This window comes from Homo sapiens, chromosome 11 (genome assembly GCF_000001405.40).
Source record: "Homo sapiens chromosome 11, GRCh38.p14 Primary Assembly".
Lineage (NCBI taxonomy): Eukaryota > Metazoa > Chordata > Mammalia > Primates > Hominidae > Homo > Homo sapiens.
In genome coordinates this window covers 17122173-17150025 of record NC_000011.10, presented here as the reverse complement: position 1 = coordinate 17150025, position 27853 = coordinate 17122173, and the positions used below count along the sequence as shown (strand labels likewise).

Here is a 27853-nt window from a genome sequence, read left to right as displayed (position 1 = left end):
AAAAACTAATTTTATTTCCTTGCAGAGTTTATTGCATTTCATAATATATATTATCTTAACGGGATTCCAACCAAGGAATGAGATCCTGTATTTCTACAGTACTTTGGCCTAAGAATTATGCTGTTTTTATTCTTTAATGGTTATGACTAGGAATGTGTCTAATATTCAGATACATTCTTTCTAGCTTTGTACTTTTGAAGGCCCTTTGAAAAAATATAAATCTGAAACAGAAAACCATTAGCTACTGTAACAATTATTCTTTTAGTTGTTAAAGGAAAAGTTTTGTGTTTTTTTGTTGTTGTTGTTGTTTTTTGAGAGAGAGTCTCACTCTGCCACCCAGGCAGGAGTGCAGTGGCATGATCTTGGCTCACTGCAGTGAGGGTGACAGAGTTAGACCCCATCTCAAAAATACAGCCTACCTGCTGTATTTTTATTTTTCATTGGAAAATATACCAGGCAAATGTCAAACATTTAAAATGGTGAATCTTTTTCTTATAATTCATTTTAAATCATTGTTTGCTAGATACTGCTAAATATCATCTGTGGGGGATTGTTTCCAGGACCCCCTTCAGATACCAAAATCCCAGGATGCTCAAATCCCTGATATAAAAGACATAGTATTATCATACAACTGATGCACATCCTCCTGTATACCTTATTTATTTTTAGTTTAATTTTTAAATTTTTAACTTGTATGGGTACATAGTAGGTATATATATATTTATGGGGTACATGTGATTTTTTTTAAAGTATCAAAGGGAAAGGGTAACGTGATGTTTTGATACAGGCATACAATGTGTAATACTCCTGTATATTTTAAATCATCTCTAGATTAGTTATAATACCTAATACAATGTAAATGCTATGTAAATATATGCTGTACTGTATTGTTTAAGGAATAATGACAAGAAAAAAAGTGTGTACATATTCAGTACAGATGCAGTTTTTTTCTTTTCAAGTATTTTTGTTCCAAGATTGGTGAATCCACAGATGCAGAACCAACATATATAGAGGGCCAACTGTATTAGGTTAAATAAAACATATTATTAAAATTAGCTTCACCTCTTTCCATTTACTTTTTTCAATGTGGCAACTAGAAAATTTAAAATTATATATGTGGCCTACATTTGTGGACTACATTATATTTCTATTGTATACTGCTGTCTTAAATTATAAGTAATACAGTCTTGAATAAATATAAATGAGCAAAGTGAAAATAATGACTAACTCTTTTACAGTGAGTTCTACTGTAGAAATCATTATAATGCAAGCCCTTTGCTGGGTACATGATGACTTGAATCAAGTAGATGTTGGCAGCTATGTTCTAAAAGTTTGTGGTCAAGAGGAAGTGCTGCAGAAGTAAGTTTATTTAACTACTGAGCAACATCCTTGGAAATTTCATTTTTAATGGTTTAATCTAGAAAAATTTCAAGTTAAATTTATAATGCAGAAATACATTGGATCCTATTGAATTGATTTATTGAATCAATAAACTTTTATTGAAATATATAATGTCTAAGATGTCATGTCTAAGACAGTGGTGGGGTTTCAGAGATAAGTGAGACATTGTATTCCCTTAAGGAGCTTGTAGTCTTTACAGGAAGAGTTTCAGGCAGTTGGTTAATAAGTGATATAATGGGTCTTTCTTACTGTAAAGAGTCAATAGTCACATCATTATAGACTATATTCCTCTTGCAACATGCACTGTTACTTTATGCACAGTAGTCAGCTGTGATTTCCTTTTAGTTGCCTGAAATAATCATTATATGAATCTTTTTCTTACCCAGGTATTTATTATATCTTTTTTTTTTTTTTTTTGAGACGGAGTTTCACTCGTTACCCAGGCTGGAGTGCAGTGGCACAGTCTTGGCTCACCACAACCTCCACCTCCCGGGTTCAAGCGATTCTCCTGCCTCAGCCTCCTGAGTAGCTGGGATTACAGGCATGCACCACCACGCCTGGCTAATTTTGTATTTTTACACAATACAGCCTGTTGGTCAGGCTGGTCTCGAACTCTCGACCTCAGGTGATCCACCCGCCTCGGCCTCCCAAAGTGCTGGGATTACAGGTGTCAGCCACTGTGCCCAGCCTTGTAATTCATTATATCTAGCATTTAGTCCAGTTGTTTTACAGATTTTATTCTCCTAGGCTGCTAGAAATGCCCTGTCCCGATTTTTCTTATTTCCTTCTTCATCTTTGTCTTCATCTTCTTTCTTTTTTACATTGACTCTTCTCGTACAGAATAATTTCTCTGTTTAAATGCTCAGACTTGATTTTAAAACTGTCTCTGTTTCACCATTCTCTTCAATTTCTGATGCAGGTGCAATTTAAATTTTACCCTCACCTTTATAATTTCTAATTTGAATAGAATAGTGAATAATTAATATATCTTAACAGTAATCATTGCCTTGGAAGTCATGAGCATATTCAAAACTGTCGAAAATGGGACACAGAAATTAGACTACAACTCTTGACCTTCAGTGCAATGTGTCAAAATCTGGCCCGAACAGTAAGTGTGTACCTCATAACTGAATTCCATTTGTTTGAATCTGAATAATTCTGCTAATTTGCCAATTTTCAACTTGTACATTTTTCATGATTTCATAGTTAGAATGGGGTGATGAACTCATCCTCAACAGGAATCTTCTTAGCAAATGAGGGGAGATGTTCAATCATGGAGGTTTAGGTAACATAGTCCTTAGAGGTAGAGGCATATTTGAAAATCAAAGTGGAGAAATTAAAATTTGGTTGGTAATAGCTTTATACAAGAGTGAAAACATCAGGGTGAGTCAGGGAAAAATGGGGAAGAAGGAAAAATTTTGAATACTAAATATGGGTTGGGGATGAAAAGAAAATCCACACTGACCTTTGTACCAAACTGAGAAAAATAAATTATTCATCACAAAATGAAAACTAATTCCCTGTTTTAAAAGTTCACTACTTTCAGTAGGTGGATGCTGTTTAAAAAAAAAAGTGCTTTCAATGCTTTCTTTTGAGGTTAAAGCAAAATAGAATGCAGCAAATTTAGCCATTTTGTTTTACTGCGTGAACCCTTGATGAACTTAAAATCGAATTTTTAATCTCTAAAGAGAATTATTCTTTATTTGTTAGAATTTTGGATGGAAAAATATCAGTGATGTCTGCTTTCTTTTTTTCTTGGTTTTCTTGAGTTTTGCTTTTATGTTAGGTAGAATTCATTTCAATTGGGTAAAGACTATTTCATAAAATTTGGTACATTTTAGCAGTCATTGGTAACTTTTCTTCTTAGTTTCTTAAGGAATGATGTTCTTTTTTTTTTTCTTTTGGAGACAGAGTTTCCCTCTGTCATCCAGGCTGGAGTGCAATGATGTGATCTTAGCTCACTGCAACCTCTGCCACCCACCCTCAAGCGATTCTCATGCCTCAGCCTCTGGAATAGCTGGAACTGCGGGCATGCACCAACCCACCCAGCTAATTTTTTTTTTTTTGTATTTTTAGTAGAGACGGGTTTTTGGTGTGTTGGCCAGGCTGGTCTCGAACTCCTGGCCTCAAATGATTCACCTACCTTGGTCTCCCAAAGTGCTGGGATTACAGGCGTGAGCCACCGCGCCCTGTCAGGAATGATGTTCTTGACTACATTTGCGTAATGTAGACTTAGGGTAGAAGAGCGAGTACCTTGTTCATGATGGGGAGTGGGAGGAAAATTGATTATCATTAGAAAAAATAATGCAGAAATTTAAATGACCTCCATCTGTTTTCTACCCCATATGCATTTGGCTATCAGCCATCTTTAGTGTTTTTAGCTCTCTATTCTCTATATATAGAACAGAAGTAGTTTTTGTTCCAAAAGCTATTTATATATCTGAAAGTAGGCTTGAAAGCATTTATGTTTTCCATTTAACAAACAAGTTTTTTTTCAGGATGTTGACTCACTTTTTTTCTGAGTCAGTTACAAATAATATTTAATTCTGATAGAATTTTATTTTCAGTTCTCAGAAAAACACTTTAGTTGCAAGATTTTATCATACACTTAACTATATTTAATTTGACAATAGAAAGACCAAAGAGTGGATGTGATTTTTTTGTGTATATGTGTTTGTTTAGGCAGAAGATGATGAAACACCCGTGGATTTAAACAAACACCTGTATCAAATAGAAAAACCTTGCAAAGAAGCCATGACGAGGTATATCATCTAAAGCATTAATTGCAGGTTTTCAGACTTTGTTTTTGGATGCAAATACACTTATTTTGGTGATGAAAACAATCATTTTGTGTGTAGCATCCTTCAGCCACAATAACTGTTGTTTCTTTCAGACACCCTGTTGAAGAACTCTTAGATTCTTATCACAACCAAGTAGAACTGGCTCTTCAAATTGAAGTAAGTCTTAATTCACATTTTGGCATAATGACTTAAAGATTCTTGCTGCTTCTTTCTCTTAAATGGTAGTGTTGGCATTGGATTAAATATTTTAGGACTTTTAAGACTATATTCTTCTTTTTAATTTATAAAGAAAATAGGTTTAATTGACTTACAGTTCAACATGACTGGGGAGGCCTCAGGAAACTTAAATCATGGAAGAAGGCACCTCTTCATAGGGCAGCAAGAGAGAATGAGTGTCAAGTGAACGGGACCCATTATAAAATCGTCAGATCTCATGAAAACTCACTCACTATCATGAGAACAGCATGGGGGAAACCACCCCCATGATTCAGTTTATTGCCATCTGGTCCCACCCTTGACACGTGGGGATTATTACATTTCAAGGTGAGATTTGGGGGGGACATAGAGCCAAACCACATCATTGTGCCCCTGGCCCCTCCTAAATGTCATGTCCTCACATTTCAAAACACAATCATGCCCTTCAAATAGTCTCCCAAGGTCTTAACTCATTCCAGCATTAACCCAAAAGTTCAAGTCCAAAGTCTCATCTGAGACAAGGCAAATCCCTTCCACCTATGAGCCTGTAAAATCAAAAGCAAGTTAGTTACTTCCTGGATACAATGGAGGTACAGGCGTGGGGTAAATACAGCCGTTCCAAATGGGAGAGATTGGCCAAAACAAAGGGGCTACAGGCCCCATGCAAGTCCAAAATCCAATAGGGCAGTCATTAAAGCTTAAAGACTTTTTTTTTTTTTTTTTTTTTTTTTTTTGAGGCTGAGTCTCCATGTGTTGCTCAGGCTGGAGTGCAGTGGCACGATCTCGGCTCTCTGCAACCTCTGCCTCCTGGTTCAAATGATTCTCCTGCCTCAGCCTCCTGAGTAGCTGGGATTAGAGGCATGCATCACCATGTCTGGTTAATTTTTATATTTTTTAGTAGAGATGGGGTTTCACCATGTTGGCCAGGCTGGTCTCGAATTCCTGACCTCAAGTGATCCTCCCACCTTGGCCATCTAAAGTGCTAGGGTTACAGGCATGAGACACCGTGCCCAGCCAAGACTATATTCTTGACATTAATGTTTCATGTCTTGTTTTCGGACCTAACTTACCCCCAAAATTTTCAGTAATGCTTAAATTAACATGTTTATTCTCACTTCAGCTCTGTTGCCAAGAAGAACCTTCAGTTCATCTCTAAAAGCATTTATTGGATGCTTACTATATGCTGAATGCTAGAGTTATGAAAATGAATGACCTAGTCCCCACCTATCAGGAACTTAAAAACTAGTGGTGAGGGATTTAAACAAAACTTCAATATAGTATAGTAAAATGTATTATAGAGGTATGCCTTGCAGTTATGGAAATCAAGGAAGAGCACCTTACCTAAGTTGAGGGTTCAAAGAAGGCCTCTTAGAAGGGATGTTCCCTGAACCAAGTCTTACACAGTTAGCAAGAAAAAATTGGGAAGGGTATATAAACAAAAGCAGATAGGTGTGATATTTACATGGAAGTATAAGCAATTCTGTGATAGAGTACAAAGTATAAAATGAAGATTGGCAGATGACATTGGAGATAGCTATGTGATTATTATCCTTATAATCCATGTTAAGGAATTTTACTTTATCTTCTAGGTCAGGAGACCATATCCAGTCTACTTTCTAATTTGTAAATTAAAAAAAAAAATTAACAAAACCACACCCCTGGATTTTTTGTTGTTGTTGTTTTTTGTTTTTTGAGACAGAGTCTTACCTTGTCACCCAGGCTGGAATTCAGTGATGTGATCTTGGTTCACTGTAATCTCTGCCTCCTGGGTTCAGGTGATTCTCCCACCTCAGCCTCCCTAGTAGCTGGGATTACAGGTGTGTGCCACCACGCCTGGCTAATTTTTGTATTTTTGGTAGAGACAGGGTTTCACCATGTTGGTCAGGCTGGTTTCGAACTCCTGACCTCAAGTGATCCACTCGCCTTGGCCTCCCATAGTGCTGGAATTGGGCGTGAGCCACTGCGCCTGGCCCCATACCCTTTTTTTTTTGTTTTTTTTTTTTTTAACATATTCTTTCTTGTCATTTACATTTGTGCTCCAACACTAGAGTTGAGTAGTTGGAACAGAGATTGTGTATCCTGAAAACCTAAGCTGTTACTGTTTGGCCCTGTACAGAAAAAGTTGGCCGACTCCTGCTCTAGCCACTTAAGGTGTTTTTAGCCTAGGGTGGGTTGGGTGAATTGTTTAGTCCTGTGATCTGAAATCACTCTGGCTGTATTGTGGAAGTTAGATTTCAGGTTGGGATTGGTTTCAGAGCGAATATTTAGAAAGGTTTTTATAGCAGTCCAGGTGAAAGATAAAGAGCATGGAGAAGTTAAAAAGGAGAGAACTGATTAACAATATTTAGGAGATAAAATTGAAAAGATTTTAATAGGTGATGAGATGTGAGTGAAGGGGAAAGAGTATGAGTGTAGGATGGCTTCCATATTTTTATCTACAAGTACATTCTTATCAACATATAAATATATTTATTCAAAAATATTCACTGAATATCTCTGGTAAGCTGGAGTTTACTAGAATCTGGAGTTTCGTATGGAGTGTCCAGGCTAGAGATAATAAACTTGGAAATCATCAGAATATAAATTGTATTTTGCAGCCATAGGCAGGATGAGGTCACCAGGAAAATCATTGTAGATGAAGAGTTGCCCATCTTAAAAAAAAAAAAATCCCCACCCCGCCCCCTGCCGCAGGAGCCACACCATTTCTCTATTCTCCTTGCCACAAAACTTCTGAAAGTTAAGTGGTTTTACAGCTTCCAATTCCTTTCTTCCCATTCTCTTATATGCCCACTCCAATCAGTTTAGTACTTCCCTGAAACTGTACTTATTAAGGTCATCAAGGACTTCCATGATCCTGAATTCAGTAGTCAGTTCCTAATCTGTTGATGGATGGATCGATGGATGGATGGATGACAGGGTGTCACTCTGTCACCCAAGCTGGAGTGCAGTGGTGTGATCACAGATCACTGCAGCTGCAACCCCCTGCAGATTTCTCTGTGTTGTCTGGGCTGGTCTTGAACTCCTGGGCTCAAACAATCATCTTGCTTCGGCCTCCCAAAGTGTTAAGATTACAGGTGTGAGCCACTGTGCCCACCAAGTCTTTATTTTTCTCAACCTGTCTGTATTTTTTGATACAGTTGATCATGTCTTTCTTTTTGAAATACTTAGTTGGCATCTGGGATACCACCTTCTGCTTTCCTTATTTCCATTAGCTGCTCTGTCTCACTCTTACTTGTGGCTTCTTCCTTATCTTCCTGACTACCAAACATTAGCATATCCCCAGGGCTCAGTTCTAGGACCTCTTCTCTCTGTATTCACATCCTAGGTGATCTTGGTATATCCCTATACTGATTGACTCTGAAATTTATATGTCTAACCTTAACCTTTTCCACATCTCCAGACTCAAATATCTATTACTTGACATCTTTATGTGAATATCTAATTAATTGACATCTCAAATTTAAGATGTACAAAACTGAATTTTTTATAGTACCCATCATATCTATTCATCCATCGACCTTTCCTTTCTCTTTTTAAGAGTTTATTTTTTGAGAGCAATGTTAGGTTCAGAGCAAACTGAGAGGAAGGTACAGAGATACCTCATATACCCCCTTCCCTACACATGCATAACTTGACCTCATTATTTCCCTTTTTAATAAATGGCAACTTTGTCTTCCATTTGCTCAGACCAAAACCCTGGAGTCATCCTTGATGTCTCAAGAAAAAGATCTTATACATTTCACATTCAGTCTAATTCTGGTCAGCTCCACCTTGAAAATACATTTAGAATGTGAGCACTTTCATCATTACCAAAGCTATACTCTAGTCAACTGCAGTAGTTTCTTACTAATTTCCCAGTGTCTACCCCTGCCCTCTACAGTATGTCTTCCACAGGCAACCAAAATGATCTTTTGAAAATAAGTCACTAAATGTAATGTGATATCCTGGATTATATTCTGGAAGATAAAAAGCTCATTAGTGGAAAAGTTGGTGAAATCTGAATAAAGTTTGAAATTTACTTAATAGCAATATACCAGTGTTAATGTCTAGCTTAGACAAATGTAACGTGGTTTATGTAAGATTTACTTAGTCTAGTTTTCCAACATTATATGGGAACTTTGTATTTTTTTATAACTGTCTATAAATTTAAAATTATTAAAAGGTAAAGATTTTAAAAATGAAAATAGGAAAATTAGCCGGGTATGGTGGCGTGTACCTGTAATCTCAGCTACTCGGGGCTGAGGTAGGAGAATTGGTTGAAACCGGGAGGCAGAGGTTGCAGTGAGCTGAGATCACACTGCTGCAGTCCAGTCTGGGTGAATGAGACCTGTCTTAAAAAAAAAAAAAAAAAGGAAAAGAAAAGAAGAGCAGAAAGCAAAATAAGAGAAAATCAAAGGCAGAAGGTGGGGCTTTGAAAAGATAACGTTTGTAAATCCTTTAAAAAGTGTTAGATCATGTCACTCCTTCACTGAGAATCCTGTTTACTCTCTTACTTAGTAAAATTCAAAGCCCTAATTGTAGCTTCAAGGTTCCGCACAGTATGGACTCACTACCTCTCTGATCTGGCTTCTTATCACTTCCCTTTGTTTTTTTTCTGGTTGATTATCTGCCAGTTATGTTCCCCACTGGGGACCCCTGTGCATGTTGTTCCCCTCTAAATGCTTTTCCCTGTGACATTTGCATGGCTCACCCTTACACTTTTTTAAGGTCAGTGCCCAAATATCACCAGAGATTTCTTTACTCACCATCTTATCTAAAATAGTAACTCTATATTATACTTATCCCCCTCCTTTATTTTTATAGCTTTATTGAGGTATAATTTATATATCATAAAATGTACCCATTATATGCACACAATTCAGTGATTCTTAGCCAATGCATAGAGTTGTATAATTATCACCACAATCCAGTTTTAGAACATTCTCATCACTCCCAAAAAAGTTTCCTTGTACTGATTTGCAGTCAATCCTCACTCCCAGCCTCAGCCCCAGACAACTACTAATCTGGTTCCTATTTCTATAGCTTTGCCTTTTCTGGACATTTCATGTACATGGAATCATGTACTATGTAGTTTTTTACATCTGGTTTCTTTCACACACCATACTGTTTTTGAGGTTCATCCATGTTGTAGTAGGCATCTATAGTTCACTTTTTTCTTGCTGAAAAATATTCCAGGCTACCCCACATTTTGTTTATTTGCCAAATGATTAGCATTTGGACTTAAACTTTATAATTTTTGGTTATCATGAATAATGCTGTTATAAACATTTATGTATGAGCCCATGGATATATGTTTTAATTTCTTTTGGATGGATTTTAGGGGGAGATCAAGAAGTTGCTGAAGTTTTTTTTATTGTTGTTTATTTTATCTTTTTTAAAGAAATGGAGGTCTCACTGTCTTACCCAGGCTGGCTTCAAACTCCTGGGCTCAAGAGATCCTCCCACCTCAGCTTCTCAGGTAGCTAGGATTACAGCCACACACCACTGTGCCCAGCTAGGAAGTTGCAGAGGTTTTGATTACTCCTGGCCTTTAGTTTTCTGAAGATAGGATGTTAATTCAATTTGCTAAAATGAAGTCAGGATGGCAGTAGGGGTTTTGAGGCAAGGAATAATGGTTTGGTTTAATATCCTATAGGGAATGGGAAGGAGAGCTGACCAAGGGCAGATTAAAGGAATTTTAGGTGCCGTGGAAGTTTGTGCTGAAATTGAGGACTGTTGAATCTATAAGATTTTCCTAAAAGTGCTCAGCTGCCTGGTAGAAGAAGCAGAGAAGAGTTTAGTCAGAATGAGGGAGTGAGGACAGAAGAGAGTTTGGTCAGAATCAGAGTGTGAGGACTGGAAGCAAAGGGGTTGTAACCAGATATGATATTGTGGTTAAGGTTTCAATAGGATACCATTTGGGGGTTGAATATATTGTGAATTTTCCACATGGACGTTTATGTAACGGAGGCTTGTATTACAGGATGTAGGGTAGAAAGTTAGATAAATATCCAATGCAAAAATATGGCATGCCGTTGGGGAAATGACCATGTCGGTAGTAAGATGTATCAGCGTGGGCCAGCCAGGAGACGGAAATTGTACTAGTTACTTGAAAAGGGAAATTTAGACAGGGCATGGTGGCTCATGCCTGTAATCCTAGCACTTTAGGAGGTGGAGGTGGGCAGATCACCTGAGGTCAGGGGTTGGAGACCAGCCCAATATGGCGAAAGCCGGTCTCTACTAAAATTACAAAAATTAGCCGGGCATGGTGGCACATGCTTGTAATCCCACCTTCTCGGGAGGCTGAGGCAGGAGAATCATTTGAACCCAGGAGGCGAAGGTTGCAGTGAGCTGAGATCATGCCACTGCACTCCAGCCTGGGTGACAGAGTGAGATTCCACCTCAAAAAAAAAAAAGGGAAATTTAAAGAATCATTAGGCCGGGCGTGGTGGCTCATGCCTGTAATCCCAGCACTTGGGGAGGCCGAGGCAGGTGGATCACCTGAGGTCAGGAGTTTGAGACCAGCCTGGCCAACGTGGTGAAACCTCGTCTCTACTTTAAAAAAAATACAAAAATTAGCTGGGCGTGGTGGCAGGCACCTGTAATCCCAGCTACTTAGGAGGCTGCGGCAGGAGAAACGCTTGAACCTGGGAGGCGGAGGTTGCAGTGAGCCAAGATCGCGCCATCGCACTCCAGCCTGGGGGACAAAAGCGAGATTTCGTCTCAAAAAAAAAAAATCATTAATTAGTAAAAGATGATTAATTGCTTTAAGGGGTGAAAGAGGACTCTAAGGCAGGAATTGGCATACTATGGCTCACACACCAAATCTGGCCTGCTCTCTGTTTTTGTAAATAAAGTTTTATTGGACCTATAGTGACAGTCATTTGGTCATTTGTTTATGTATTGTTTGTGTCTGTGTTCACGTTTTAATGGCAGAGCTGAATTGGTGCCAGAGACTGTATGGCCCACAAAGCCTAAAATATTTACTAACTGGCCTTTTAAAGGAAAAGTTTGCCAACCCTACTCTAAGGGGTCCAGCGATAGGAGGTGCATAAAAGCAGCTGTCACCTCTAGGCTGAGGAAAAAAGGACAGTAAAACACTCTGAGGACTGTGATAAAGTCTCTCCCCGAACCTTAGACTGAAATTTAGTCTCTTTGAAGAGAGTATGGCTCTCACAGGAATACATAGTTGCCTATGGCAAAGAAACCTGCTAGATAAATTTAGCCAAAGGTGTCAGGTAGGAGAACATAGCATGAGGGTGCAGCTAGAGGTAGTCTTTGAGGACTACTCAGCTCTCACACTGAATTAAAAAAAAAAAAAAAAGGAAGCTGGCTGTTTTTCGTCTTCCGGGGCATTTGGCATATCCTCATAGGCTTTCCTAGCCTGTCCTGAACCCCTGGTAATAGAATTGTTTACCTTTGTACCAAGAAGGTTGGGAAAGCACCAAAATCTGCATGTGGTGTGTACCCAGGTAGACTTTGAGGGGTTCGTGCTGTGAGACCTAAAGCCCTTATGAGATTGTCCAAAACAAAAAACATGTCAGCAGGGCCTATGGTGATTCCATGTGTGCTAAATGTGTTAGTGACAGGATCAAGCATGCTTTCCTTATCAAGGAGCAGAAAATCATTGTGAAAGTGTTGAAAGCACAAGCAGGGAGTCAGAAAGCTAAATAAAAGATGAAGCTTTTTTGAGTAATAAAAATTAAAAGACTTTTTAAAAAAATTAGAAGGCAGGAACCCAGATGGGAAGTGTCTTCCTAATGCTCTTGGCCTTGGAGGGTCCTTTCTGTGTGTTCAATTGACAAAATCTAAAAATGCGCTAGCTTGGCAAAGAGAAATGTTTATAGGGTCTAGCTCTAGTATCAGAAAGGAAAGCAGAGGAAGGGTGGATTTGGAACTGATAGACAATAAATTGATAATTGGCACTTAAAGAGTAGTGTAGGCCAGGCGCAGTGGCTCACGCCTGTCATCCCAGCACTTTGGGAGGCTGAGGCGGGCGGATCATCTGAGGTCAGGAGTTTGAGACCAGCCTGACCAACATGGTGAAACCCCATCTCTACTAAAAATACAAAAATTAGCCAGGCATGGTGGCAGACACCTGTAATCCCAGCTACTCGGGAGGCTGAGGCAGGAGAATCACTTGAACCCAGGAGGTTGCAGTGAGCCAAGATCCCACCACTGCACTCCAGCCTGGGCAGCAGAATGAGAGTCCGTCTCAAAAAAAAAGGCAAAGTAATATGAAGTAATATAGGAGAATGGCATGACCTTCAAAACTGGAAAGATTTTTGCATGAATGTGAAGTAAAAGGAAGCAGGAAGTATAAGTCAAATAAGCAAAAATGAGGAGCTAGAAAACAGGCTCCGAGGACTACAGGGTAATTGGGTATTTGAGAAAATTAGGTGGTTTCATTTAAGCTTGAAGGTGAAGGTTTATAGTAGCCAAGCCTCAAGGGTGGAAAAATTTAAATTTTTAAGGGGTGGTATAGTACTGAGTTTCAGCCCATTCTAACAGTACTTGGCATAAAAGTTTGGCATAAATGTTTTATGAATTAATACATTATATAAGAATGTTTCTTAATATGTACTTCTCCGGTAAATGTTGCCCAGTGTTATTAATATGTGACCGACCTCTGAAGAACTTGGTTTTTGATACCATATTTTTGCAGGAGGAAGAGAAGGGTTATTTTCAATGTGGAAATTATTTCCAAATGAGAATAAGAAAAAAATAGCTCTAGTTTTAGTGATTTGCTACTAATTTATGCTTCTACTTCTGATTCTAATGTAAAATTAATAGCAATTTGCATATGAATAATTGTGTCAGACGAAGTGAAAATTAACCCGGCCTTGCCTTTTCCTACTTTGAAATAAACTATACAATTGAAAAGCTATGTTTTTTCTTTGTCATCACAAAAGAGTAGAGGATATCTGTTAGGGATATCTAAGATATCTAGTTTCTGACTTCGTCTCTGGAATTGGTCCTTTAAATTTCACCTACCTATTTTTATTTTATTTTTTATTTTTAAAGAACCAACACCGAGCAGTAGATCAAGTAATTAAAGCTGTAAGAAAAATCTGTAGTGCTTTAGATGGTGTCGAGACTCTTGCCATTACAGAATCAGTAAAGAAGCTAAAGAGAGCAGTTAATCTTCCAAGGAGTAAAACTGCTGATGTGAGTATTTTTGGTAACTAGGATTTTATTACATGCAAATATGTACTTAAACAGGAGATTTTTGCCTTATCCTAGACAAAATATTGTCATTTTAACTTTGGCTTTTACTTTTGGGTTGAATCACTTACTTGGTTAGGTGGGGATTCCTTGGTAAGAAGTTGGGCTGCCTTGGAAGAGCTTTATGAGAGTTGACATTCAACAGGTGGATGTCAAACTGTGAACCCTTTGTGTATAGAGGAGGACCTCTGGCATAAATGAGTTGGTTTGGGGTTTAAGGATAGATATTGAGCTTAGAAGACCTGGAGGACAGTAACTATCACTTCTCCCTTGGGGTGGAAGCATCCTGATTATCAGTGAGGGAAGTTCTAATCACTGATAATCAGTGGGGGAAGTGGCTAATACTTCCTGTAGAAAAGACCAAGGGCCTCAGCTGTAATGCCTCAGAAGCAGCCAAGTTAGGGGCCTTCCCTTTAGATTATACTGTTGCTTTTAATAAAAGCTGTCCGTCATGACATTTCCAGGGGATTTAATTAACTTGCTTCATAGAGACATTTATATCTTTAATTGCAAGGATAAAAGAAGGGGTGCATCTCAAAGGCCATGATAAATATAAAGGATAGAAAAGTTACGTTGATGGTGTGCCCCTCGATATCTAGAAGATAACATAGTCCATGCATTCTCAGAAAGATCCTATCCATGTGGTATGTAGAGATGTGGGTTTCTTTTTTTCTACTTTTTTATGTGCTTCTTTTTAGAAACTTATACACACACACACACACACACACACACACACACACACACACATATATGAAATTACTTGAAGGTGATCAACTACCATGGACCTAATTTTGTCTGAGGCTTCTATTTATTTTACCCATTTGATGGATAAAGGAGCAGACAATAGATGGGAGAGGAGTCAGTTTAGATAATTATAAGCACTTTTTTGAGTCACCAACCAAGTGGTAATAAATACAGTTCTAGATTTTTTTCTTTAAGGATATTCTTATGTTGTTTTAGAGCAACTAATGGAAAAATACTGTACTTGTCACTTCTAGATTTCAAATTAGTATTAACCAAGCAGATTTTGTTGTGTTTCTGTGATATTTCACAGTAGTTTTTAGTTATTCTGATTTTCTTAATACTAAAAATAATCTTGGTTTGTGGTTTTCCCTTTCTTTTTGCATTATTTATTTATCGTTTTATTAATTCTGTAGATACTTGGGAGGTTTCCCCTGGAAAGAGTTTCTTGGACATAGTATTTGACATTTTATATTATGTCATAGGCAGTTTTCTGACTATTGTGTGTGTGTGTGCATGTGTAGGTGACTTCTTTGTTTGGAGGAGAAGACACTAGCAGGAGTTCAACTAGGGGTATGTGTTTAAATCTTTAAATTTTAGCAATAATCATCGCCTTTTCAGAGAATCTATTAACTTTTTTTTTCTTTAATCTAGGCTCACTTAATCCTGAAAATCCTGTTCAAGTAAGCATAAACCAATTAACTGCAGCAATTTATGATCTTCTCAGACTCCATGCAAATTCTGGTAGGAGTCCTACAGACTGTGCCCAAAGTAGCAAGAGTGTCAAGGAAGCATGGACTACAACAGAGCAGCTCCAGTTTACTATTTTTGCTGCTCATGGAATTTCAAGTAATTGGGTATCAAAGTAAGTAACTGTTTAAGCAGCCAGGCATGGTGGCTTGCACCTGTAATCCCAAGGCTTTGTGAGGCCACAGTGGGAGGATTGCTTGACCCCAGGAGTTGGAGACCAGCCTTGGCAATGAGACCTCATCTCTACTAAAAAGAATTTTAAAAAAATTAGCCAGTCAGGCACGGTGGCTCATGCCTGTAATCCCAGCACTTTGGGAGGCTGAAGCGGGTGGATCACCTGAGGTCAGGAGTTCGAGACCAGCCTGACAAACATGGAGAGAACCTGTCTCTACTAAAAATACAAAATTAGCTGGGTGTGGTGGCACATGCCTGTAATCCCAGCTATTTGGGAGGCTGAGGCAGGAGAATCACTTGGACCCAGGAGGTGGAGGTTGCGGTGAGCCAAGATTGCACCATTGCACTCCAGCCTTGTCAACAAGAGCTAAACTCCATTAAAAAAAAAAAAATAGCCAGTGGTGGTGTGCACCTGTAGTCCCAGCTACTCAGAAGGCTGAGGCAGGAGTATTGCTCGAGCCAGGAAATGAAGACTGCAGTGAGCTATATCATGCCACTGCACTCCAGCCTGGGTGACAGAGCAAGACTCTGTCTCAAAAAAATAAAAAGAAAATATGTGCAGCTTTATCTAGCAACTATTCTGATCTTGTAAAATGTCAGCAACCAGTTATCTTGGTGTTTAAATGACTAACCAGCAGATACCTTTGTTATTTTCTTAAAAATTACAGAGGTATTTGAAGCACTTCCAGTAAAAAAAATGTAACTCTTTACATGCCAAAAGCAGGAAAATATAGCAGGAAAACAGAGCAAATATAGCAGGAAAACAGAGCAAATGTCAGTTAATTAGGCAATTTAAGACTGGTGTTCGTTCATTATTATTATTTTTTTTTTTGAGATGGAGTCTTGCATTGTTGCCCATGGTAGAGTGCAGTGGCGTGATCTCGGCTCACTGCAACCTCTGATTCCAGGGTTCAAGCAATTCTTGTGCCTCAGCCTCCCCAGTAGCTAGGATTACAGGTGTGCACCACCATGCCTAGCTAATTTTTGTATTTTTAGTAGAGACGAGATTTCACCTTGTTGGCCAGGCTGGTCTCAAACTCCTGACCTCAAGTGATCTGCCCACCTCGGTCTCCCAAAGTTCTGGGATTACAGGCATGAGTCACCACACCCAGCCGCCAGTTTTACTTTATTTGAAAATCAATGTATGAACTGAAAAGTCAGAAATATTTTTAGTGAAATAGTTTTATAGTAGCTTAATGCTATAAAAAAGTCTACTGAAGAAATATCAAACCTAAGTTTTGCTTAAATTGGGCTTTAGATTAAAATATAATAATTTAGTGACTTAAAAGTGATGTTTTAATTTATTCAATAAATATTTATTGAGCACCATCTGTGGGCAGTATTCTTAGTACCGGGGATTCAGTAGTACAAGGCGGCAAAAAACCTGTACTCTTCTGGAACTTGGATTTAAATGGATATTGATGGTATCTGAAGGTATTTCATTACAGGGATAATAATCTTCACATTCTCCATAGGCACACACACACACACACACGTTTGTACATAGACACACACAAATATACATAGGGACACTAATGAGGTGAACAAATACCCAGTAGAAGACAATACAGAAAACGGTGATAAAAATAGAAAGTAAGTGAATAAAATGCTGACATAAATAGGAGTAAATGGAATAAAGTTGAGAAAAATAACCAAATAGTTTGCTTAGGGGTATTGTGTGAACCAACGAAATTTGATTTGAATTAAATTTAGAATGATAAATAAATTGTATATATGAACAGAGTGGTTAACATGTAAGGCTAGCAGTAAGTTAGATTAAGTAGAATACAATTTTATTGAATCTAAGACTCCTGCTTTACAAGATTACCTGACTGTATCCAACCAGCTGTGTACTTGGCAATTAGTGGCTGAGTCACTGCAATCTAATGAGAGAATTCAATAGCATCTGTCCCCATAAATGGAAGACTCCCAATAGACTAGGAAGATTGGCTTGATGCAAGTCAGGCACATGCTTAGCTGACTCTATTTCAGTAGCTTAGCAAAGGAAAATGCACCTAGGGAAGGTAATGTTTGTACTCTTTCTACCTAGAAATGAATAAATACATTATTCAGTGTTGTTCAACTAAAATCTGAAGCTAATAACTAACTGAGCACAAAATTAAAGTAAATTGGCCGGGCGCGGTGGCTCACGCCTGTAATCCCAGCACTTTGGGAGGCCGAGGCGGGTGGATCATGAGGTCAGGAGATCAAGACCATCCTGGCTAACAAGGTGAAACCCCGTCTCTACTAAAAATACAAAAAATTAGCCGGGCGCGGTGGCGGGCGCCTGTAGTCCCAGCTACTCGGGAGGCTGAGGCAGGAGAATGGCGTGAACCCGGGAAGCAGAGCTTGCAGTGAGCCGAGATTGCGCCACTGCAGTCCGCAGTCCGTCCTGGGCGACAGAGCGAGACTCCGTCTCAAAAAAAAAAAAAAAAAAAAAAAAATTAAAGTTAATTATTCAGCTGGTGTTATTATGACCATGCTTTAAACTGGGACCTAGGAACTTACATTCCCCTTTTTATCCCCTTTACCAAACCTCTTTTCTATTTTCATAGAATTTGCAGTGGTTAAATTTCAGATGGACTTCTAAAAACTCAAATGAAAGGTGACCAGATTATTTCAGATATTAGTCTCTTTGGAGGAAGAACTGCTAATGTATTTGTATTAGTTAACTAATTTGTATTATCATGATAGAAATCAAGTTAAACTTTCTTTTCTCAGTTATGAAAAATACTACTTGATATGTTCACTGTCTCACAATGGAAAGGATCTTTTTAAACCTATTCAATCAAAGAAGGTTGGCACTTACAAGAATTTCTTCTATCTTATTAAATGGGATGAACTGTAAGTGAAATTTCTGGCTTTTTATTCTTTCAGTGTGTCCTGTTGTTTACTTTTTCCAATGTATGCATCCTAGCTTTAATTTTTATTGCAATTTTCATTGAAATTCATTAACTTCTGACTTATGTCTTAAGATCTCTCTTCTAGATATGATTTTATAGAACAGACTGAAATTCTCATTAAAAAATATTAAATACCGACCGGGCGCAGTGGCTCACACCTGTAATCCCAGCACTTTGGGAGGCCAAGGCGGGCGGATCATGAGGTCAGGAGATCGAGACCATCCTGGTTAACACGGTGAAACCCCGTCTCTACTAAAAATACAAAAAATTAGCCGGGCGTGGTGGCGGGCGCCTGTGGTCCCAGCTACTCGGGAGGCTGAGGCAGGAGAATGTCATGAATCCGGGAGGCAGAGCTTTCAGTGAGCTGAGATTGAGCCACCGCACTCCAGCCTAGGCAACAGAGCAAGACTCCATCTCAAAAAAAAAAAAAAAAAAAATGAAATACCCTTTTAAGCCTTTATATTATGAAATTACAAAAACATACCATTCTTTTTAGACTTTGTCAAGTTAAAGATATAAATTTATAGTTATAGAAAGGAATGAAAGTTATAGAAAGACGGTATTTTATAGCATTGCTTGCTTCAGTATTTATTCTGTAACACTATATAACAATTCTGGCTCTTAGATTAATCAACACTTAACGAAAAAAGTTATCTTTTTACTTTTTTGAGGCGGAGTTTTGCCCTTGTTGCCCAGGCTAGAGTGCAGTGGCATGATCTCAGCTCACTGCAAGCTCCACCTCTCGAGTTCAAGCAATTCTCCTGTCTCAGCCTCCTGAGTAACTGGGATTACAGGCATGCGCCACCACGCCTGGCTAATTTTTTGTATGTTTAGTAGAGTTGGGGTTTCACCATGTTGGCCAGGCTGGTCTTGAACTCCTGACCTCAGGTGATCCGCCCACCTCGGCCTCCCAAAGTGCTGGGATTACAGGCGTGAGCCACCGCGTCTAGCCGAAAAAAACATTATCTTAAATCCATGTACAAGATGATATTTTGTACTATTCATATTTTTTAAATAGTGTTTTTTCTTTTTTCTTTTTTTTTTTTTTTTGAGATGGAGTCTCACTCTGTCACCCAGGCTGGAGTGCAGTGGTGCAATCTTGGCCCACTGTAACCTCAGCTTCCCGGGTTCAAGTGATTCTCCTGCCTCAGCCTCCTGAGTAGCTGAGATTACAGGTGTGTGCCACCATGCCTGGCTAATTTTTTTGTATTTTTAGTAGAAAAGGGGTTTTGCCATGTTGGCCAGGCTAGTCTTGAATTCCTGACCTCAGGTGATCCGCCCACCTTGGCCTCCCAAAGTGCTGGGATTACAGGTGTGAGCCACTGTGCCCGGCCTAAAATAGTGTTTTTAAACTAAGGGAACTCTCATTATTTAGGCAGATAGACAGTTGCAGAACTTTTTACTATTCGTTCCACATTTATTAAATGTTTTCCTATTGTCTTATTTTCTTTTATATTATAAAATAATACATGTCTGTGAAAGCAATCAAGTAACACAAAAATGCATATAAGTAGAAAGTGTCACTATTTTCAACATTTGCTATCAGAGTGCCTACTGTTGACTTCAAGTGTTCTTTCAGACTTAAAAAAATAATGCATTGGTAAACATATGTCTGTTGGTGTATATACTTTTCTTTTTTTCATGGGAGGGAAGAGAGGGAGGAAAGGAAGGAGGAAGGAAGGCTGTTTGTGTATATACTTATTATATATGTTTGTGTGAATTCTTACATCCCAAAACAGAAATTCTCATAAACATTCATCTAGTTTTTCCAAAAGGAAATAAAAATGACTAATATTATTTTGCCTGGAAATTGACACTAGAAATCTCAAAGGCATTTGTAAGTCTTTAAAGAAAGAAATGTTATATTTTGAAATTTTATACTGTTAATAAAATTTATTTAAAATTGTTAATAGGACAAGTTAGCCAGACTTCTATTTAGCTAAAGGTTACTCAGTATTAAAGATTATTTGAGGCTGGCGTGGTGGCTCACGCCTGTAATCCTAGCACTTTGGGAGGCTGAGTGGATCACCTGAGGTCAGGGGTTTGAGACCAGCCTGGCCAACATGGTGAAACCCCGTCTCTACTAAAAATACGAAAATTAGCTGGGCGTGGTGGTGGGTGCCTATAATCCCAGCTACTTGAGAGTCGGAGGCAGGAGAATCACTTGAACCCAGGAGGCGGAGGTTGCAGTGAGCCAAGATCGTGCCATTGCACTCCAGCCTAGGCAACAGAGCAAAAACGCCTTCTCAATAAAATAAAATAAAAATACCAAAATAAAGATTATTTGAAAGGTTAAATACAATACCTAAAATTGTCAGTCTCATTAAAGTGTTAAATTTCAAAATCATTCAATCTAATTTGTTCTATTAATACATTTTTCCCCCCATAGAATCATTTTTCCTATCCAGATATCACAATTGCCATTAGAATCAGTTCTTCACCTTACTCTTTTTGGAATTTTAAATCAGAGCAGTGGAAGTTCCCCTGATTCTAATAAGCAGAGAAAGGGACCAGAAGCTTTGGGCAAAGTTTCTTTACCTCTTTTTGACTTTAAACGGTAAGTATTACCGAATTGTAATGGTGAGTCACTGTGGACACATCTGCACATCAGAATTGGCTAGATGACAAGGAGGTGAGGGGAGGAACATAGATGAGTGAATGAGCCTCTTCAGTTTTTCTAATGTGATAAAAGGAGGTCAGTTCAGAGACACAGATTAGAGGAAATCAAAGTTAGTCTGCTATATTCTAAACATATCTGAATAGGTATGCACAGCTTTGTTTGCCACTCACTGTTCCATGGAGAAAAGCAGCAGCCAATGACTGTCGTTTATATAAAGTACTACATTGTTGACATAATACCACAGTCTTGTAAGTTCCCTTGATGTTAACCAAAGAACTTCGTTTTTCCTTTTCCCATTTCTTTCCTACTCTTCTCCAGTTTTAGAGAATCTATAGGTGCACATTATTCCCTTCCTTAATTCTCTTTACTAATCTATCCCTTACTGCCAAATGCCCCTAGTCTTTAATTGCCATACATCCCACAAGTATGCAAAACCCTATTAGGGATTCTTTCCCTTATCCTTAGGGGTAAAGGAACTTCTTTTGAGCTTGGTGTCTGTTAATAGCCACTGGGATAGTATAATCTATATGGCCTTTCAGCTGAATATTTTAATTATGTTTTAAGGAATAATGTTTCATGAGATGATCAAGAGTTTTCCAAAGGAAAAATAATTGGGTAAGTTCGGGATATGTTACATTCAGCACATGGGTGCATTCTGGAGAATAGATGATGCACATTGGCATATTAAAGCATCTCTAGGCAGGGCTCTGTGGCTCATGCTTGTAACCCCAGCAATTTGGTAGTCCAAGGTAGGCAGATCACTTGAGGTCAGCAGTTTGAGAACAGCCTGGCCAACATGGTGAAATCCCACCTCTGCCAAAAATATAAACATTAGCTAGCTGGGCATAGAGGCACACCCCTGTAATCCCACCTACTCTGTAGGCTGAGGCATGAGAATCACTTGAACCTGGAGGCAGAGGTTTCAGTGAGCCCCTCCCCACCCCCCGCCAAAAAAAAAAAAAAGCATCTCTAAAGTTCTAAAAGAAAAATTAAAAAAAAAAAGGAGAAAAAAGCATCCCTAAAGCTTTGTAGTCAAGAAGCCTATTTAACTGGGTCTTATGGCAATATATTTACTATAATAACAAACACTTATGTAGCACTTACTATGTGCTAGGTATTCATCTGAGTGCTACATAGGTATCCTTATATTTCTCACAACTGCTCTATGAAATAAGTGGTGATTTTATCCCTTTTTACGGAGTGGGGGGAATCAAAGTACAGAGATTAAGTGACTTTCCCCAGGGCACTTAGCTAGTATGTGGTAGAATTGGGATTTGAACCAGGCAGTTTGGCTACAGGGTCTACATTCTGAACTATTACCCTATATTAACATACTGAAACTTAGTTGATACCATGACACTTTTTTGTTGTTCTAGAATATATCTTTTGAAACCTTGTGTCCCTTGGGACAGTTTGGGAAATGCTTTAATAATAGATCTATTTAACTTAAAACAAATACCGAGAATGAAAATTTCTGCTAATCTAATACTTTTTCTTCTTAAATGGCAAATACACCATTTGATTTGCCAGTAATCATCTGTTGACAATAATAGGATGTTCAAAACACTGACTTGACAAATTTGTTCTTGAAATATTCTTTTCCCATGTGCTTAAAAATAACATTTATTGGCTGGGCACAGTGGCTCACACCTGTAATCCCATCATTTTGGGAGGCTGAGGTGGGTGGATCACTTGAGGTCAGGAGTTCGAGACCAGTCTGGCCAACATGGTGAAACCCCATCTCTACTAAAAATACAAAAATTAGCCAGGTGTGGTGGCGCACATCTGTAATCCCAGCTACTTGGGATGCTGAGGCAAGAGAATTGCTTGAGGCTGGGAGGCAGAGGTTGCTGTGAGTCAAGACTGCGCCACTGGACTCCAGCCTGGGTGACAGAGCGAGACTCTGTCTCCAAAAGAAAAAAAAAACACATATTTATTTTAAAAATATTTTTCTTTATTTTAGTCGCTTCCCCCCTATTTGAGGAGGCAGTATAAGATTTTTTGTTCTCTACATTTTGGTGGATTCAGATTTTAATACCTGACATAATTTTGAACTACCAAAGGCTAAAGAAAGGCAGTTGAAGGGATTACTGTTAATGGTGTGTATTAGGAACCTTTTGCTAAATATAATACATTACTACTCTAAAACAGAATATGCTTATATACTGTGAAGAATTGTATTCACCACTGTCTTTGATAAATTAGTGTCAGAGAGCAGTTATATGAAAGTTAAATACAATTTCATCATTATCATTAATTTTTATAAATAAATTCTGAAAACCTTCTTGCTCTTGAAAGCACCAGGAGTCTTTGCATAATTAGAGAACTATCACATTTTGCCACTTTTATTGTCTAGTAATAAATGGTTTTGTTAGATAAATGATATAATATTCTTTCATAATTCAAGAGACTATCAAGTGAAGGGCAGTTGACTTCTGCTAGACATTTAAATAGTTTGCATCCAACACTCTGCTGTTAAAATAGTGAATAGATTGTATTAAGCTTGAGACTGCCAAGTAGTGCAGGCGATCTTGGTAATGTTAGGACTTCACGTTCAAGGAATACTCAGAAATTAAGAGGGAAGATGATTAAGAGAGATGATTATTATTATTACACTTTGTTTCTCTACATTAGTACATGTAGAGAAACAGTATATAATATAGTTGAGTTAACCACTGTGTTATAATGATTAGTAATCCTAGTCTTGAAATTCTTTATGAAATAATTTCTGTTGAAGATGCAATCTTATATGACCTAATGGTCACTATTATTGAAGCCAAATGACTCAAAGGCATTTCATTCAGCCTTAATAACAAATGAGTTCTTTTTTAAAAAACTTTTTTTTTGTAGAGATGGAGTCTCACTGTTGCCCAGGCTGGTCTCAAACTCCTGGCCTCAAGTGATCCATCTTCCCGCCATCCGATCCCATCCGGTAGCTCAGATTATAGGCGTGAGCTACCATGTCCAGCACAAATGAGTTCTTAACTAATTTTTCTGAAAACTGGCATATAAACAGAATTAAGCAGTTAACCTGTCTTTCCTTTACAGTTATTTCTGAGGGTTACTAAATAATTGAGGTGGCAAAGTTTTTTTTGTTTTTGTTTTTGTTTTTTGAGACAGAGTCTCACTCTGTCACTCAGGTTGGAGTGCAATGGCATGATCTTGGCTCACTGCAACCTCTGCCTCCTAGGTTCAAGTGATTCTCATGCCTCAGCCTCCAGAGTAGCTGAGATTACAGGTGTGTGCTACCATGCCTGGCTAATTTTTGTGTTTTGGGTAGAGACAGGGTTTTGCAATGTTGGCCAGGTTGGTCTCGAACTCCTGGCCTCGAGTGATCCACCTGCCTTAGCCTCCCAAGTGCTGGGATTACAGGTGTGAGCCACCATGCCTAGCAGTAATTGATATGACAAAGTTTTTTTTATAGAAAATCTTTAGCTAGCCCGTTATGGTGGCTCATGCCTGTAATCCCAGCACTTTGGGAAGCCAAGGCGGGAGTTTGAGACAACTCTGGCCAATATGGCGAAACCCTGTCTCTACTAAAAATACAAAAAAGTTATAGCCAGGTATGGTGGCTCGTGCCTATAGTCCCAGCTACTTGGGAGGCTGAGACGGGAGAATTGCTTGAACCCGGGAGGTGGAGTTTTGCAGTGAGGCGAAATTGCACCACTACACTCCAGCCTGGGCGACAGAACGAGACTCCATCTCAAAAAAAAACAGTGAAAATCTTTAGATAATAGATGCAGAAGGAATGATAGAATTAGAATATTATAATTTTGCAACCCATGCTGAAATAATAGATTTCGGCCAGGGTTTCTCAATCTTGGCAGTATTGACATTTCAGACCAAATAATTTTTTGTTGTGGAAGACTGTTCTGTGCATTGTAGGATGTTTAGCGGCATCCCTAGATTCTACCCATTAGATGCCAGTTGTCCCCCTCAGTTTACAACCAAAATTATTTCCAAATTACCAAATGTCTGCTGGAAGGAAAATCACTCCCAGTTGAGAACCATTGATGTAAGCAGTGATCATCAGTGCCGCCTTTTTTGTTTTTTGTTTTAAAACCTTAAAATCTGTGAAAATGCCTTCCTAAAACCATTAAATAGTTTTTCTGCAACTTCATAATTGATGGCTTAAACTGATGGCACTAGAACTAAACTGATCAATAGTAACATCACAGAGAGATAACCCAAAGAGTGTGTACCTTTTAATTTGATAGAATTAGAAGTAGTATACAATACCAACTGCAAAATAGTAAGTATTCTTGCCAAAGAACTAAATCTGAATCAAATCAGGCCTCTAGGTCTAACTTCTTCTCTATGGAAAATACAGGAGGACATGTGAAATGACACCAGAGGAGTATAACCAGCAAAATTCAGGATATGGAAAATTCTACAGAACAAAAGGCCTGGTATCATCAACAAATAAATAGAAAAAAAGAGAAGGAGACCAAACAAGAGTTAACAAACTTTTTCTGTAAAGGGTGCCAGATAAAAGTAGTTTAGGCTTTGCAGACCATATAGACTCTGTCACAAATGCAAAAGCAGTCGTAGACAGTACATTAACAAATGAGCATGGCTATGTCTGGTAAAAGTTTATTTACAAAGCCAGGTGTGAAGGCCAGTTTGTTTACATGTGGCTATAAATAAACTCTGTAAAGGCAGGTTGGAGTTTGCTGACCCTGAATTAAAAGATGCTTAAAAAGACATCCAAATGTATTGTGCCACTGCACTTCAGCCTGGGCGACAGAACAAGACTCCGTCTCAAAAAAAAAAAAAAAAGACATCCAAATGCAAGTGTTAGGCCTTGCTTGGATCTTGTTTTAAGCAAACCAACTGTTTTTAAAAAACATCATTTATGGGACAATCAGAGAAATTTGAATAGTGACTAGATATTTTATGGTCTTAAGTAATTATTGTTAATTATTTTAGGAGGGATAATGGTATTGTACTTATTACAGGAAACTTTATTTTTTAGAGATATATAACAGTATTTGTAGATGAAATAATATGATCAGGATTTGCCTTAAGTCTAGTTGGAAGTAAGGGTGGTTCTTAGACATAACAGACTATAGCCCGGTGTGGTGGCTCACACCTGTAATTCCAGCAGCTCAGGAGTTCAAGGCTTCAGTGAGCTATGATCACACCGCGCATTCCAACCAGGGCGACAGAGTGAGGCCCATCCCCATATATATATATATATGATGGATTATAAGGTATCAAAGATTCAAAGCCTGTTTGTCAAGAGAAAATTTTAAAACTGGAGTCTAGTTTTGGTAAAGATATTTGCTGTTTGAATAAAATGAACAAAGATTTGACAAACTATAGTTTTCTGCTTTTGTATATCTTACGTTGTTTTCAGAAATTTCTTCTGTGTAAAGATATGTCAATATCTTTGAAAGAATGTTTTGATTGAGTAGGCCATAAATTAGTAGTCTAGGGCAAGGGTCAGCATACTTGGCCCATTGCTTCTTTTTATAAATACAAATACAGTTTGTTAGAGCATAGCATGCATATACATTTATATGTTGTTCATGGCAAATTTGAACTACAACAGGAAAATTTAGTCTTGCAGCAGAGACTTTATGGTCCACAAAGCCTAAAATATTTACTCTCTGGCTCTTTATAGAAAAAGTTGGCAGACCCCTAGTCTAGGAAACAGATAAAACTTCTCATATCTGGCCAGGTGCGGTGGCTCATGCCTGTAATCCCGGCACTTTGGGAGGCTGAGACAGGCAGATCATATGAGCCTCAGGAGTTCAAGACGAGCTTGGGCAACATGGCGAAACCCCTTCTCTACAAAAAAAAAAAAAAAAAACAAGAATTAGCTGAGCATGGTGCCACGTGCCTATAGTCCTAGCTACTTGGGAGGCTGCAATGGAACAATCATCTGAGCCCAGGGAGGTCAAGGCTGCACTTAGCCATAGTTGTGCTACTACACTCCAGTCTGGGTGACAGCAAGACCCTGTCTCAAAACAAAACAAAACAAAAAAACGTGTTTTGTTTTCTTTGGCTTGTATTTTTGATCTAATGATTAAAGTCAGGAAGCAGTTCTGTAATCCAAACCACCACCTTGAGATATATTTCTTTGTAGAAAATCTTCAAAGACTATTCTTAAACTTCCTATTTCTAGAAGTTGTTTTCTGAGTCCTTACCTTTTTTGTGTTCTGTCCTCAACACCATTTTCCCCAAGATAATGTCCTTTAATTCTCCCTCTCTTTGTTCCCACCCTACATTTCAATACATTTACCCTACACCTGAAAAGTTTCAGTACAATGTGGAGAGTGAATCCTTCTGATATGTTCTTAAAGATATCCTTTTTATTTAGTTGATCTCATACTAACTTTTCAAATTCATTACATGTGTTGTAAATTTTGAATTGATTTTTAAAATGAAAATCACATTATTATTTTTACATCCGTGAAGGTTTTTAACATGTGGAACTAAACTTCTATATCTTTGGACTTCATCACATACAAATTCTGTTCCTGGAACAGTTACCAAAAAAGGATATGTCATGGAAAGAATAGTGCTACAGGTAATGGTACTTCTTGACATGTAGAGAGGTGTACATTTAAATTTCTTCATAAAATGTGTGTGTGTATACCATGATTTGGGTTGTTAAAGAAACCTAACTGATCTTGTTTTAGTCTCAGGATCTATCTTCTATTTTAATATCAATATTTCTGAGAAGCAGTAAAACATGCACTGTACTTATCCCAAGAAATATGTATGTGCTGTTGAGAATTACCAACAATGGTAATCAATTGCAACAAGAAGCATTAATTTAATATTCAATGTAAATATGCCCCGATTGCTAAGAAAAATCTGTTTTCTTAAAGACAAAGAGGTTAATGTGGCAAATACGTAGACTGTAATTTGATCAATTTCTGTTAAATTTTAAAGGTTGATTTTCCTTCTCCTGCATTTGATATTATTTATACAACTCCTCAAGTTGACAGAAGCATTATACAGCAACATAACTTAGAAACACTAGAGAATGATATAAAAGGGAAACTTCTTGATATTCTTCATAAAGACTCATCACTTGGGTATGTTCTGTTTAT

At 38.2% G+C, this 27853-nt stretch overlaps 1 protein-coding gene and 1 pseudogene across 6 annotated transcripts in view; both read left to right on the top strand.

Annotated features, from left to right (window-relative positions):
- PIK3C2A (phosphatidylinositol-4-phosphate 3-kinase catalytic subunit type 2 alpha) overlaps positions 1 to 27853 on the top strand; it is a 121412-nt gene that overhangs the window by 57961 nt on the left and 35598 nt on the right. For 4 of the 6 annotated variants that reach the window (NM_001321380.2, NM_002645.4, NM_001321378.2 and 1 more), the window contains 11 exons: positions 1239 to 1359; positions 2398 to 2509; positions 4084 to 4163; positions 4295 to 4358; positions 13401 to 13544; positions 14867 to 14915; positions 14997 to 15207; positions 17988 to 18110; positions 20559 to 20726; positions 27213 to 27324; positions 27693 to 27838. In NM_001321380.2, coding sequence (NP_001308309.1) covers positions 1239 to 1359; positions 2398 to 2509; positions 4084 to 4163; positions 4295 to 4358; positions 13401 to 13544; positions 14867 to 14915; positions 14997 to 15207; positions 17988 to 18110; positions 20559 to 20726; positions 27213 to 27324; positions 27693 to 27838 — 1330 coding nt within the window. The remainder of the gene's footprint in view (positions 1 to 1238; positions 1360 to 2397; positions 2510 to 4083; positions 4164 to 4294; positions 4359 to 13400; positions 13545 to 14866; positions 14916 to 14996; positions 15208 to 17987; positions 18111 to 20558; positions 20727 to 27212; positions 27325 to 27692; positions 27839 to 27853) is intronic. The other 2 variants (NM_001386870.1, XM_047427128.1) reach the window with 1 other exon arrangement.
- RPL34P24 (ribosomal protein L34 pseudogene 24) lies at positions 11756 to 12087 on the top strand (annotated as a pseudogene).